The sequence below is a fragment of the Homo sapiens genome, chromosome 16 (assembly GCF_000001405.40).
Source record: "Homo sapiens chromosome 16, GRCh38.p14 Primary Assembly".
NCBI lineage: Eukaryota > Metazoa > Chordata > Mammalia > Primates > Hominidae > Homo > Homo sapiens.
The window spans coordinates 76,275,262-76,289,285 of record NC_000016.10 but is presented as its reverse complement, the minus strand read 5'-3'; the positions used below and the strand labels follow the sequence as shown (position 1 = coordinate 76,289,285).

The 14,024-nt window shown below is 35.6% G+C and overlaps 1 protein-coding gene and 1 pseudogene across 14 annotated transcripts in view; both read right to left on the bottom strand.

Annotated features, from left to right (window-relative positions):
• CNTNAP4 (contactin associated protein family member 4) overlaps positions 1–11,885 on the bottom strand; it is a 283,357-nt gene extending 271,472 nt beyond the window's left edge. For all 14 annotated transcript variants that reach the window (NR_136216.2, NR_136210.2, NR_136213.2 and 11 more), the window contains exon 1: positions 11,539–11,885. Coding sequence is in view for 7 of the 14 variants with exons in the window: in NM_033401.5 (NP_207837.2) it covers positions 11,539–11,623 (85 nt within the window). In the remaining 7 variants the exon portion in view is untranslated. The remainder of the gene's footprint in view (positions 1–11,538) is intronic.
• On the bottom strand, positions 1,547–1,656 carry RN7SKP233 (RN7SK pseudogene 233; annotated as a pseudogene).
• Positions 11,886–14,024: the final 2,139 nt, after the last annotated feature.

Here is a 14,024-nt window from a genome sequence, read left to right as displayed (position 1 = left end):
AGAGTAATTTTCAGTACTACTTTCAAATTGCTAGAGATGATCGGGCACGTGCTACAGGCATAGGAAGACATGAGGATGGATTGGAAGTAGCTGATGCTGTTCCAATTTTATTTTATACTCATGATGTATCTTTTGTTTGTCTATTGAGAGTCCTCAATCCAAAATAATTTGATGTAGTGGCCTATCAAATTACATTTGCTATAAATTTTTTTTTTAAAAGGTGAGAGGGAAAGGAAAAGAGAGATAGTGAGAAATAGTAAGAATAGGTTGACCAGGAGAATATGTACCATAATGGATTATGACAGACTAGAATATGTATGCAACCTAATGAAATGAAATGGAATAGAGTTAAATACAAAGTCAAAGTTTTAAAATGATAGCAAAAATCAATGGGATCCTAAATAAAAAGGACGTTTAAATCACCAAAATAACACAATTTTCCAATTTGTCTAGCCTGATTCTGTTCATCTTCTCTGTTTTTGGTGTTTCAACTGAAAAAAAATACAAATTATCATCCATCAACGTATTGTTTTCCCATTTACTGAATATGCTCTTTATTCCAGGCACTGTGCTAGATGTTGCAGATACTGAAGTGATTAACATAATACTTCTGTCTTTCAAAAATTTCAGTTTTGCAAAGGAAACTTTTTAAAAATCCATTTTGATAGTCTATGATCAGGGCAGGAATAAGCAAACATTTGAAGTGCTATGAAATTTCTGCTAGAGAATGATTAAAGTTGAGGTGGTGAGACTCCATGGACAAAGGAGATGAGGCTTGTTTTGGGTAGACATTTTCCAAGAGGTTTTAGAGTGAAGTATTTGAGGGTAATTTACGCAAAGGGAACAACAGATGCAAAGGCCAAGAAATGAAGAGTAGAGGACACAGGGGACACCAGGATTGAAGAAGAAAAAGCAGTGTATTAGTTTGCTCTCATGCTGCTATGAAGACATACCTGAGACTGAGTAATTTACAAAGAAAAGAAGTTTAATTGACTCACTGTTCTGCATGGCTAGAGAGGCCTCAGGAAACTTAAAATCACGGCAGAAGGCAAAACAGGCACGTCTTACATGGTGGCAGGCAAGAGAAGACTGAGAGCCAAGTGAAGGGGAAAGCCTCCTATAAAACCATCATATCTCACGAGATCTCATTCACTATAACAAGAACAGTATGGGGACAACCGCCCCCATGGTTCAATTATCTCCACCTGGTCCTGTCCTTGACACGTGGGAGTTATTACAATTCAAGGTGAGATTTGGGTGGGGGAAATAGAGCCAAGCTATATCAAGCAGTAAAGACAGACAAAAGTGGAAAGATCAGCAAGTACTGAGTAGGAAGACATTTGTTTGCCATGTTCATAAGCCTCAACTTAATGTTGGATGTGCCTAACAATGAAATATAGCTGCAAGGCAAAACTTGCTTTTTCTTAAAATCTGTACCTTTGGTGAAATATAACAGTACATTATGTCAAGCTTACCTAAAACTACAATAATATGTGTAGTAGGTAAAATATTGTATGATATAAAATGGAGTGAATCAGGGTCACAGGGAGCAGTGAGGAAGGAAGAGGGAACAGCTGCCTTACCAGCCATCTCAGCCAAATCAACCCTGGCCATCGCTAACACGACAGATGTCACAGCCAGATCATCCTCATATCCAGGAAAATGAAAAAGGAAAATGATCACAGGAGGCTCGATTTTGCTAACTCAGAAAAACAGAGAACTTCCTGACATCTTCTCTAGAGAATGTTTCAGTGATTAATGGTACTACCTACATACTTTCATGCTAATCTGGTTCATGTTGCAATTATACATAAATATAAAGAAACTATCCCACAGGCAAGCACATAGCAAAGCTTCCAAGAAACCAATGTGATCATTTACAAAGAGAACAGGTTAAAAAAATGAATCAGGCTGTTTTGCGTGTTAAGCGTAGCAAATTATGGTGATCACAATTTTATTTTTAGTAGCTAAAATTCTACATTAGCCTCCTTTTTCCATTCCCCTAGTATGTATTTGACCATGAAATGTTTTGTTTTATCATGTTTCATTTTGTGATAAAGGATGCTAGGAGTTTAAGAAACTAAATGTTATCTACAGTGTTTGCTCTTTGCTTTCTTAAATGTACCCTAGTTCTTTCCTCAAATTATTGCTATTTTTTGTATATTTGTTTTAGAAAAGCTTACATCTTTTGATACTTAAGAGGTAGTGTTATGAAGCTGTATGTGAGCATGAAGTTTTCTTAACAGGATTGTGACACAGTTGTCATGTTAAAGTACAGCAGTTCAAATAAGCACAGAAATCATACACACTATGAAACAAAAGAGCCTAATTGAGCAGCTTTACAACCTTGCATAGAATTCCCTCATCACCAATTTAGATAGAATTGCTTTTATTTTAGCAATGTTCTTTTAATTAAGTCCTAAACATCTAAAACATGGCAAATGTAAATATGTATTATAAATCCTTAATTATGAGGATCACTAAGCATTCTTGCAGCTTTCTGCCTTGGACATAAATTCTTTTTGTTTAAAATCAGCCAAAATTGAGAGATAAAAGTGAAAGATGTGAAAAAATGTTCAACTTTGTTTATCATGCCCTTCTCTTGCCACCCGTATCACTTTACCGCATTGTCTTCAGGAGTTAAATTATGCTTCAATTTATCTAGTGATTTTTAAGCCAAAATCTCTCCCAACATATTCTGCTTCATTGCTAGGTTCAGAAAGACTAGCACCCACGGTGGGAGAAGAAGTTGAGTTAACTACTGGGGATCCTGAGGTCTTTACACCGAGTCCTAGAAAATAAAGATCTTTGAGATCGCAAAAGGGTAATATCACTTCTCTGTTTGGGTGAATTTAAACTAGAGCCAAGAAGACCTCTTGCTAATTTTTAATCCCACATACTGGTTTAAAAGCATACTGGAGACTACTCTGGTATGGATAGCAAATATGAAGCAATCTTATTCTACATCCCATCACTATTTAATTCAAAATGTGCCACCTAGGGGCAATGCTTTCTATTTCCCCTACCAAAATGGTCTGTTTTCCAATTCCCACCCACAGTTATCTTCACACACACACACACACACACACACACACACACACACACACACACTGATAATTCTATCTCAGCAACTCATTTCCCTTAAAGACCACTTTCAATCTAGTTCCTTTTTTGTCCTTGGTCAGTCGTCAGCTGACCAGCAGATTTTAAAATACCAATACATAGTATCTTTGAATACTGAAGACAAGTCTTAAAGATATAAATCTACATGCACTCTTTTAGAGCAAAGCTATTAGCCTAGAAATTTGACTTTCTCAGATTTTCCAAGAAATCCCTCTATTGGGCCTGGTATAGCAAAGGCAATTGCTTTATATTGATGGGAAAATGTGGGGGTCTCTGTGGTGGGCCAAGGGAATCAAATGTCTGTTCAAGGTCATCCAAGCAACTATCAACCCTAAGGCTTACAACCAATTGCTAGGAGAGTTTATCCGTGTCCTTATTCAAAGGACATTGAAAAAAATACTTCCGTAGGTCATAATTGCAGAGTAAGTCCATTAATGAAATTACAGGTTATAATTTTTCTAAAAAGTATACAATAAACGTAATTTAGGAAGGCAGGTGAATTTATATATTTACATGGTGCTTTTAAAGTAATATCAACCTATGACCCCATTTATAAGTATCATAATTGCCAGTGGGAAGAAAATGGTTACAGAAACTAATATGTCTTTTACGATTTAGAAGCCCATAATATCTTATTCTAGAGCACTGCCAAGTAATGAGAGGTACTTAATAAAAAAAGCAATTAGAGCTATAGGCCAACTGATAATATCACACCATTTTTTTCCGTTGTGATTTAAAAACCTTGGAGATAAATTTCATCACTGCTCTATTAAATACTTATGGCATTAAAAAATTTTATAGTTACTAATTTTGAACTACTTAAAATGTCAAATGTTTTCAGGCTTCACTCACTTCTCCAATTATTACATTGGAATGACTCATTAACTGTAACATAAACAGGCTCATTTTTACCTGCTGTTATGCTATTTTCCCAGTTTTATTACTAGAGTACCACTTTTCCATGAACCATAATGAAAATTCACTGGAAGGAGGGGAAAAAAAACACCCAAGCATATCCACTTCCTCTTCCAAATACCAATGTTCCATGGGCAAACTGAAGCAATAATGATAACTTGTAATGCGTTTGGCATGTACATTCTTTATCATTACACAGTTCTGTAGTTTTTCACTAACTACAGAACTATGTAACTGTAGTTAGTAACTATGAACTAACTATGAAGACCCTAACAAAAGACGTTTTGGAAAAAATCTTTGTCCTCCAAAAGTCAATTAAGAAACAAAAGTATCTTTGCTTGTGCAATTATATGTCAGATTGGTCTTTACCAACACAGAGCCATCAGCCCCCTGAAGTAATCAGCACTTTGGAGAGCCTAAAAATCATAGATTAAAAACAAGGAAAGCCAGTTTCAAAAGTCAAATAAATGCATGCATACACATACAGGCATGCATATTTAATTGCAATACACAGACAATCACAGCTTAAGAGCTCATGGAAGAAATTTAAGTGTTAAACTCTTAGACATCAAAATTTTCCCCAAAAATATAAGAAGACAATTCAACAGTCAATGACATTTTTGTTATTTAGAGATACAATTTGTTGTAACTTAAAATTATGGGTAAACTACTATTTCTTAAGATTTTAAACCCTGTTTTTAAAACCCTGAATCCTTCCAATTCCAATGTTAATCTTCTGGGTAAACTACTTCATTTCAGTGTTTTCAGTTAATCACAGGGTCTCCAAAACTCTGTAATTTTTGTCTGCATGAGGTTTGGGGCATTTCTTTCACTTTCTGAGATTTTTCTTTTTAAAGTGATCAAAATCAAACTGATATTAGCATTTGATGCTACAACTCAAGACCTGTTCTTGAAAATCTGTTAAAGAGTATTCCTAAATATTCCTAACTGAAATACCCATGAAAACAATCATCCATACATTTTATAAGAATTTGCATGCCACCACCACCCACAACATAGGAACATCATGCAACAATATAGGAAACATCTCCTATTTAAGCACATACACTGTGATGGGTCAACCCTTCCCTATCATACTAGTTAATTTGAAAAATATAATTTCAATGATTATAGATAAATTCTAAAGTTGAGGTCAAAATTATTGAATGAATAAAAATGAAAAATAAGCTATAAATAATAATTGAAACACTAGAGCATGGAAGACAATCAGGTCAAAGTCTGCATGATTTAATATTTCATCAGATATATTCAACTAACAATCTGAACATGCACATAACAATGTTGGATGCATTTTTCTTACTCTTCCTACTGTTTTCAGGAGCTAGATCATTCTGTAAACTTTCAGTCAGTGAAAACAAAATGAAAATATTTTTTAAAGGATAGTGAAGGACTTCTTTTGTTTGTTTAACTTTTATTTTTTAAGTTCAGGGGTACAAGTGCAGGTTTGTTACATAAGTAAACTTGTGTCATGGGGGTTTGTTGTATAGATTATTTCAACACTCAGGTATTAAGCCTAGTACCCATTAGTTATTGTTCCTTATTCTCTCTCTCCTCCCACTCTCCATCCTCCAAAAAGCCCCAGTGTGTGTTGTTTCCCTCTATGTGTCCATGTGTTCTCATCATTTAGCTCCCACTTATAAGTGAGAACATGCAGTATTTGGTTTTCTGTTCCCTTGTTAGTTTGCCAAGAATAGTGGTCTCCAGCACCATCCATGGCACTACAAAGTATGTGATCTCATTCTATTTTGTGACTACGTAGTATTCCACGGTGTATATGTACCAGTTTTCTTTATCCAGTCTATCACTAATGGGCACTTAGGTTGATTCCATGTCTTTGCTATTGTAAAGAGTGCTGCAATGAACATACATGTGCATGTGTCTTTATAACAGAACGATTTCTTAAACAACCTGGGACTAATTGGCAACCTAAAGGTCATATGATTCATTAGTGAACAATATTAAGGCCTCAATATTGTTTAATCTGAAGTAGAATAGCTTTAAATTTTAAACATAGTATTTAAACAAGAAAAATCGGTATTTGTAGAGCAGAGCTGATATTCTATTTTTAAAAACTCAAAGCCATGTAATGCCAATGTCATTATCCCTAATCGTTGTCTACTTACAGTGGATGATCACGAATCTCATCACAATTCCTTTGACACTCAGAGAAAGTCATATTTCAGTTAAGCTCTTTGAGACTATCCTAGTTTTTTTGGTGGGGGGGTTTATTTTCTTTTTGGAAATTGGCCTTTTGATGAGACTTAGAAATCTTCATTTAAAGCTGAAGCACTAAAAACAATATAATGAAAAAATAAACTATTTTAACAAGTGACCATTTGTTTTGAAAAAAAACTGAAAAAATGAAAATGGGTTTTTAAATGATATTACATCATATTTTTAATTTAATTTTTCAAAAAACTGTAGGAAAAAGTATAGCGTAAATAAAATGGGGCCAAAGATCAGTTCCTGGAATTCTAAAATAAATACAATTTCAAATACACAAACCATTTACCCAGAAATTTATTATTGACAAGGGTAAGTGAAAATCACTTGCTTAAATATCATGAGCTCTTAGTGGGCAGTGCTTAAATGAAAATCTATTTTTCAGTTTATTCTAGAAAGTTGGCCAATTTCAGAATTTTTAGAAAGCTGCTGCTTTAAAAGTCACAGGAGCAAAAATACTCTTCTATCAAAAACATTTTCCTCATATGATCTTTGATTCCAAATGTAAGTTGCTGATTAAGATAGAGTGGAATATTTTATACTCATGAAAATGTAAAATAACAGCAGAATTTTTGTTCAAAACATCTAAGTTGCAATTACTTGTACAGTTAATTGAACTTATATTACTTATATACTTCATTGAACTTATATTACTTATATATTTCATCAAATATCTTATCCTAACAAGACCACTTGAGATTAAAACTGTGGGAATTTTACAAATAATTTATACCCACTGAAATATCAAGATTTTTGAACAATAAAGTCTTTAAGAAAAAACATACAAGGAAACATTAACTTGAAGATATCCTCTGTTACAGTTCCTGGCAATAATAGCATTGCGTTCAGTACCACAACTCTGCAAGTATATATTTGTGTGCTAAATAATTAAGACTAAATTTTATCATAGAAGTATAATTTATACACTTTTCATGTCTTATCATTTTATTGTATATTATTTAAATAGGGGTCAATTAACTTTTTATATAAAGTGCCAGAGAGTAAAGAATCTTATGTAAGTAGTTACATAGTAAGAGGGTAAACAATCTTAATAAAATTTAATTGATAAAATTCAAAATATAATACTAATATTTGAGTAGAAATTTTTGTCATGCAGGTTTACTAATAAGTGGAAGAATAAAATTTGAATTTCATATAATTATTTTTTACCATGAAGAATTCTTCTTTTAATTTTTTTCAGCTAAAAATGGAAGAACTATTCTTAGCCCATGGGTCATACAAAAACAGTCACTACTAGCAGGTCAGATTCAGCCCATGGGCCACAGTTTACCAACCTGAGTTAAATATTTTATTATCTTATGATAGATGTTATATAATTCTATTAATCTATTTTCTTTAACAAAAGTCAATTTAATCTTGATATACTCATTAGCTCCAATACAGAAATTGCTTACATATGATATAAATTCCAAAATTAATTTTACAAGACAATAATCTTTATTTCCTAGAGTAAGCACCAGGTATTATGTGAAAGTTATGTTTGATCCCCATGTTGGCCCATGAGTCACGTTATCTCCAGAGCTAGAGGCTGCCTTTATCAGAGATTATTGAGATGCATGTAATAAGAAGTGGAGAAAATGGACTGAATAGATGAAAATAAATCACCATTGCTATTAGAAAAGTGAGTCAAAGTACGTGCTGATCTTTATAGGGGCTAGCCATTTATGCATTGCCTCATAGAATTATATTTTATCAGTACTTTACTATTGCATTCTAGTTATTTTCTGCTATAGGAGTAAATATGGTGGGGGGAGGAAAAGAAAGTAGCTTCTAGAAAGAATTACAAGGTTGAGTTTTAACAATGTGAGAATCTGTCCAGCTGTCTCCCAGGACCCACAAGAGTGATCATCTACTTAGGCAATTTGCCTTCATCTATCCTTCAGTGCTTCTTTTAGGGTAGGTATCAGATACGGCCTTTATTTCCATCAGAGAAAAGAAAGAACACAGTGAGATGTTAACTTCTAATTAAGTCATTGGGGAGCATTAATTATTCTCAAGAGTACGGCTCAGTATACCAGTAACTAGAGAGCCTCCCTCACATAATCTGCAAGAGTTAAAATAAAAGCAAACTCTTATCAGCCTTACTACTGTACCCATTCCTTCTTTTGGGGTAAGTTGACCCCATCTTCAACCATGTCTTAATGTTCAAAAACTGGATTTATAAGAGCTATTAAAAAATAGAGAAATGTCTCTGTTCTTAATGCATGTCTCTTAGTAGCAAGCAAAGAAACCAAGAACAGCCAGTGCAGCTTCTCAAAGAGCACACCCATCTGCAAGGATCCGTCTCTAAACTTTGATGGAAGGGACACTTCAATATAATTGTAAAAGCTCATCTTGATGAGAACAAAGAGAAAAAAATTATGGCTAGTCCACTGCTTTTGAAATGTCAGACAGGATACTAGTAGGCAGGGAGCGTGGTTCATTCAACATATTTCATCTTTAGACAGATAAGTACTTAACAGGGCCACCAAAAATATGCAAGCACATGAGTCTAGTAGTTTACAGATATCTACATACACATATACGTATATACAAATGAGCACGAGTCTAGTAGTTTAGATATCTACATACACATATACCTATATACAAATGAGCACATATACATATATGTGAACATATATGTTTGTCTTTGAACAGAATCCTTCTAATGTAAAGTTTCCCTGCTGTTTAATTGGATCAATTAACATTCAAATTAAAGTGCACCTAATCCCTGAGCTGTACTGGTTTTGCAGAGTTCTGTCCCATGAAAGCTTTCAAACTGGCAACCTTGGGCTGACTCTGTAGATGACAGATTTGCTCCTGGCTCATCAGCTGTAAATAAAGGGGAAAAGTCTTTCTAGTCCTTTAATTTTATTTATTTATATTCAGTTATTTCCAATATTACTATTGGTAGTCAAGACTGACTCACTTTTTCTTAATATAAAGTCTTGTCCAGAAGAATTATTGGAGTCATTATAATACTTTAGAAATGCATATGCTGGTTGATAGTTGCTTGTCCTTACACTAAATTCCAGTCTTGCTGGGAAATATATATACACTTGTCCTTCCAAAAAGGATGAAACATATGAAGTACTTTCCACCATGGCTTGGTACAAGTAGACCTTACTTCTTCCAAAAAGAAAATACTTCTTAAATATTGAAAAATGAAATAGAAATTGAGAAATGAAATATTTTCTTTTACACATACTGCTGCAAATCATATTGTCAAAATATTCACAATAAATTACTGAGTGCAACTTTAATTATATAAGGTCATTTCATTTTATTTTTGACACTTGAAGAACAGTCAACTCCACATGCATGGTAAGCAAGAACTCCAACTTTAAATGTTTTTTATAATGAAAAATCGTATAGGTTTTGCAAGTTCATCAGATGTTTAAAAGAGCATTAGACTACTTCCTTAACAAACCAAGGCTGAAAGAATATAGAACCAGCACTGAAATTTTAAGTGTCAGTGAGGGATCCAACCAGAGCCAAGCAGACATAAATATTACACTCTCCTCAGATCTCTTTCAGCACCTTTTCTTTTCTAAGAAGATATATGGCAAAAGAAAGCTATTTAATGTTGATGTACACCCTACACTTTTTATTGAGCTTCAAGAAAACAAGCAAACATAAACAACTAGCAGCCCAAATAATTAGATTAATGTATTTTAAACCCAACTACAGGCAGTCTAGTGGAAAGACTGAATGGAGTACAGGCCAGATTTAAGCTCTGCTTTTCTTGAGGGAAGGATGCTTGGGGTGATGTGCTTTACATTGTAAGAGTGACCTCTAGTGCTTTTCTTTTTGGTTGAACTTTAGTGGTTGGAAGATGAATTACTTATGCCTTTTCTACAGAACTTCCATTTGTGTGTGGGTGTTGTTGTTATTGTTTGCTTGTATGATGCAATGTTTTTCTAATGCTACCATTATAAGATTCCAAGGTTTTGACTAGGTGAAATTATACATTTTATTGACTTATGAGATTATCACAACACTCAAACTAAAGTTGAATCTGATGTGCAGCACCTGAAGTGAGGTTCCTTCTTTCAGAGTGATGGATACCCTGTGACATTAAATGAGCCCATTCTGAACTGAAACACGAAATCACGGGAGCCAGGTACTGTGAGGGGACATTTGACTTGTGCCCATGAGTTTGTCATGTTTTTCACATATCAGAACTCTTAACATAGTCAAGTGATATGCCATAGCAAATGTCTGATTACTGCCTCTGTTCCCCAAATCTAAGCCTGATGATACAGCAGCAACATAAATTCCTGGACAGGCCTCATAGCCAGTTCTTGGAAAGCAAATGAGCTTTTCCTTTAAAATCCAAGAAAAAATAAAAAGTTGTATTTGCCAAGCTTGTTTGTCATTAATCAGGAGGGGAAAATTCTCCCATTTAGAGAATTTAAGCCAAAGATAACTTTTAAAACTTTTTCTATCTCTAATAAAGAGTGGATGAAGGGAGTCTGCCAAATTATTATGGATGATATCTAAATTATAAATAAGATTTCAATCTTCCCTAAATAGGTTCTATTTCATCAGAACATTCAATTACAAATTTATGCAGTTAAGCATTCAACCACAAAGGAATCCTACTTTTGAAAGACCACCTGACTGGTTTTCCTTTAAGCGAAATGTAGGAAGAGGCTCCTCTTTCCGGAGAGCGCTAAGTCTCATTCTCTTAGCAGCGAGGGCACAGCTCTTAATACTGAGACTCGCCTCAGCCAGTGCTGGTGCTCCTGAAGCCTGCAGTACATTTCAGTTATTAGCCTGCATTATTTTAAAGATGCAGGCAGCTACTGGTCTGCCCAATTGCAAACTTCAGAAATCTAAGCCAATGCAGCATAATGTAAAGTCTGCCAGTTGTTTTCCTCTTAGACATAATTCCAATAAAATTCAGTAGTTCTTTAAAAAAGAAGAAATGAAGATATTCACAGGCTATTCCCCCGATAAGATGCTAATTTCATGTTTTACTAGAACTTGGGCATTCTCAATGAATACTCAAAGACCAGAGGGTAAGATTCTGCGAGTAGACAAAAAGAGAAATGACACTTTGCCTATTTTGACCAGACCAAGAGGAGAGACAAGTGTTAACCGGTCACATTGGCAAGATTTTTAAGTGATGCTTGGTTTACAGCAATACGCTTTGCAGCAATCCCAGCTGCAAATAATCATCATCAAACCAACAGAATCAAAGTTTTGCAGAGAGCCCCCCAGCAAGTTTTAAATCATTTGCTGTATACTTACAGGAATTCCCAGCTTCGACTCTGTTCCAATTTTGAGTAGATAACAGAAGTAGCGTCTTGAGGACAGCTCCCGTGACAGATCCCATGTTCACATTTATTGGGCTCCCCCAAAAGATCTTGAGAGGCTCTCAGAGCGCTCCAGTCCTCTTCTCAGTAGCTCTGCCAGCTCTGTCTGGGTCTTCAGCCCCTCTAGGTCTCTGTCTCTCCCCCTCCCTTCCTCCTCACCTCCCTCCGTCTTTTCTTCTTCCCTCCTCCCTCTCTTCTCTCTCCCTCTCTCTCTCCCCGTCTCTGTCTCTCTCTTTTCTCTCTCTCTCTCACACACACCTCCCTGACTCCTCACTGAAAAGCACTCAGCATCTTTCCTAACAAGCATCCACACCGCCGAGGCCACGCCCACTCCTCGCAGCAGCGGTCCCACAAATTGGCAGCAGCATCCTTCCTTCCAAACACACAACAGCGCTCGAGCTCCGCTGCACCCAGAGGCGCGGCCTCCCGTTCGTGGGCCTCCTTGGGGCTCCCTCCCTTCTCTTCTATTTTCCAATAATCCTTAACCCTTTTCTCCCAGCTGGAGGTGTGAGTGGGGGAAGGGACAAGGCGGTGGAGCCTTCTGATTTTCTGGAGGTCTTGCATTTGCAAGAGCCAGAAAACACACTGAGCCATTCCTGATTATCCGGGAGTGCATCCAGGTAAAATTGCATTATGTTTCAAAACAAAAGCATAAAATAAGACAGAAATAACTAAGCAGCATTGGGAAATTGTAGCTAAAACCGTCCTCAGGGAAAATACTTGCTGTTGTTTTTCTCTGTTTCTATAAAACTGTACTCTTCAGCGAGGGTGCCAGGATTTTATTATGGAAATTCCCCACATGGGAACAGACATTCCTGCTTAGCAGATATTTAAAATCATCTGGTAGTAGTCTGCAAGAAATTAACATTTCTTATTTTAATGCTTCAGGTGTATAAATCCACAAATGAAATGCTTTGGCTAGATTTATGTTGATGAATGCATCATGCTGTGAATATGAAGTACCATTCTATAATCAAAATTTTTAATAACATTTCCAAAAAGGCCCAAAGTAGGAAATGAGGGAATACTGAAGAAAGGGACCTCCACCACCACCACATACACACATGCATACACATTCACACAAACACTGAACAATGTGACGATGTAATTCAGGTGACTTAAAGGAGAGAGGAGTAAAGTTGAATTTGGAAGATCAATGATTAAAGAAAAATTACTCTTTGAATGGCTGGTCCATGGATACAACTGTTTCTTGAATGGAATTTTAAAATGTCTAAATAATGGAGTTACTATCACATAACAAGAAGCATGTCACATGGTTCATAGCAGATAAATAATCTATTTAAAATAAATGTCAAGATGTTTTACTGATAATGTGCTAGATTTTATACAAATGGAAATCCTGGAGTTCTTAAGTGCCTCTTGGTAATCACAAATTGGAAGAAACATAAGCCTTTAACACCACTTTCTTATGGAATAATGAGAGTGGGTTTGTCAAAGATCAGATAGGTTTGTCAAAGAGTGAGAAAATGACAGAAATACCCGTAAGAACTAAACATGCTTGTTTAGCTCATGCCTGCAAACAAAGCAGAATGCATCTTTTTTCTTTTCCTGTTTTACAAGAGAAAACAAGAACAGAGAATTTAAATGATTCGAAGAGGTCATAGAGTTAGTAATAAATGCTGAGGACTGGATTTGGCTTTTCTGACTCCAGTTTTACTGCTCTCACCCTAGGACTTATTGCCCCTAAATCAGAGTATACCTCCTTCCTGACCCTTGTCAGTGGCAGCAAAAACCTTAGGCCCTAGGAAAACACAGCAAACACTTTGGGAGGCCAAGGTGGGCAAATCACTTGAGGTCAGGAGTTCGAGACCAGCCTGGCCAACATGGTGAGATCCCATCTCTACTAAAAATAAAAAAAATAGCAGGGTGTGGTCGCAGGCAACTGTAATCCCAACTACTTGGGAGGCTGAGGCAGGAATTCGCTTGAACCCGGGAGGCAGAGGTTGCAGTGAACCAAGATTACACCACTGCACTCCAGCCTGGCCAATAGAGCGAGACTCTGTCTCAAAAAAAAAAAAAAAAAAAAAAAGGATAAATACAATAAAATAAAGAAAGGTCATGGGTTGAGTGTTTATTCTGTGTTCCTAGACTTGCATTCCTGATTTTATTTTTTCAATCATATGCTAAGTAAAAGCAGATATAAATTAACAGTTTATGTTAACTAATTATTGAAGGAGATTAAATTTTACTGAACACATACTATATGCCATTTGTTATCTAATTGAATAATTATATCAGTCCTTTGAAGAAAATATCATGTCTGTGGGACGGTTGTGGGCTCTCCAGAAGAAAAAAGTTGTCTCGTTGTTACAATATTGTATTTAATTGTTCTCTTAAAACAAATTAGAGAATGCATCTTAAATGGATAAGTACACATAGCAAAAATGAAAAATAAACATT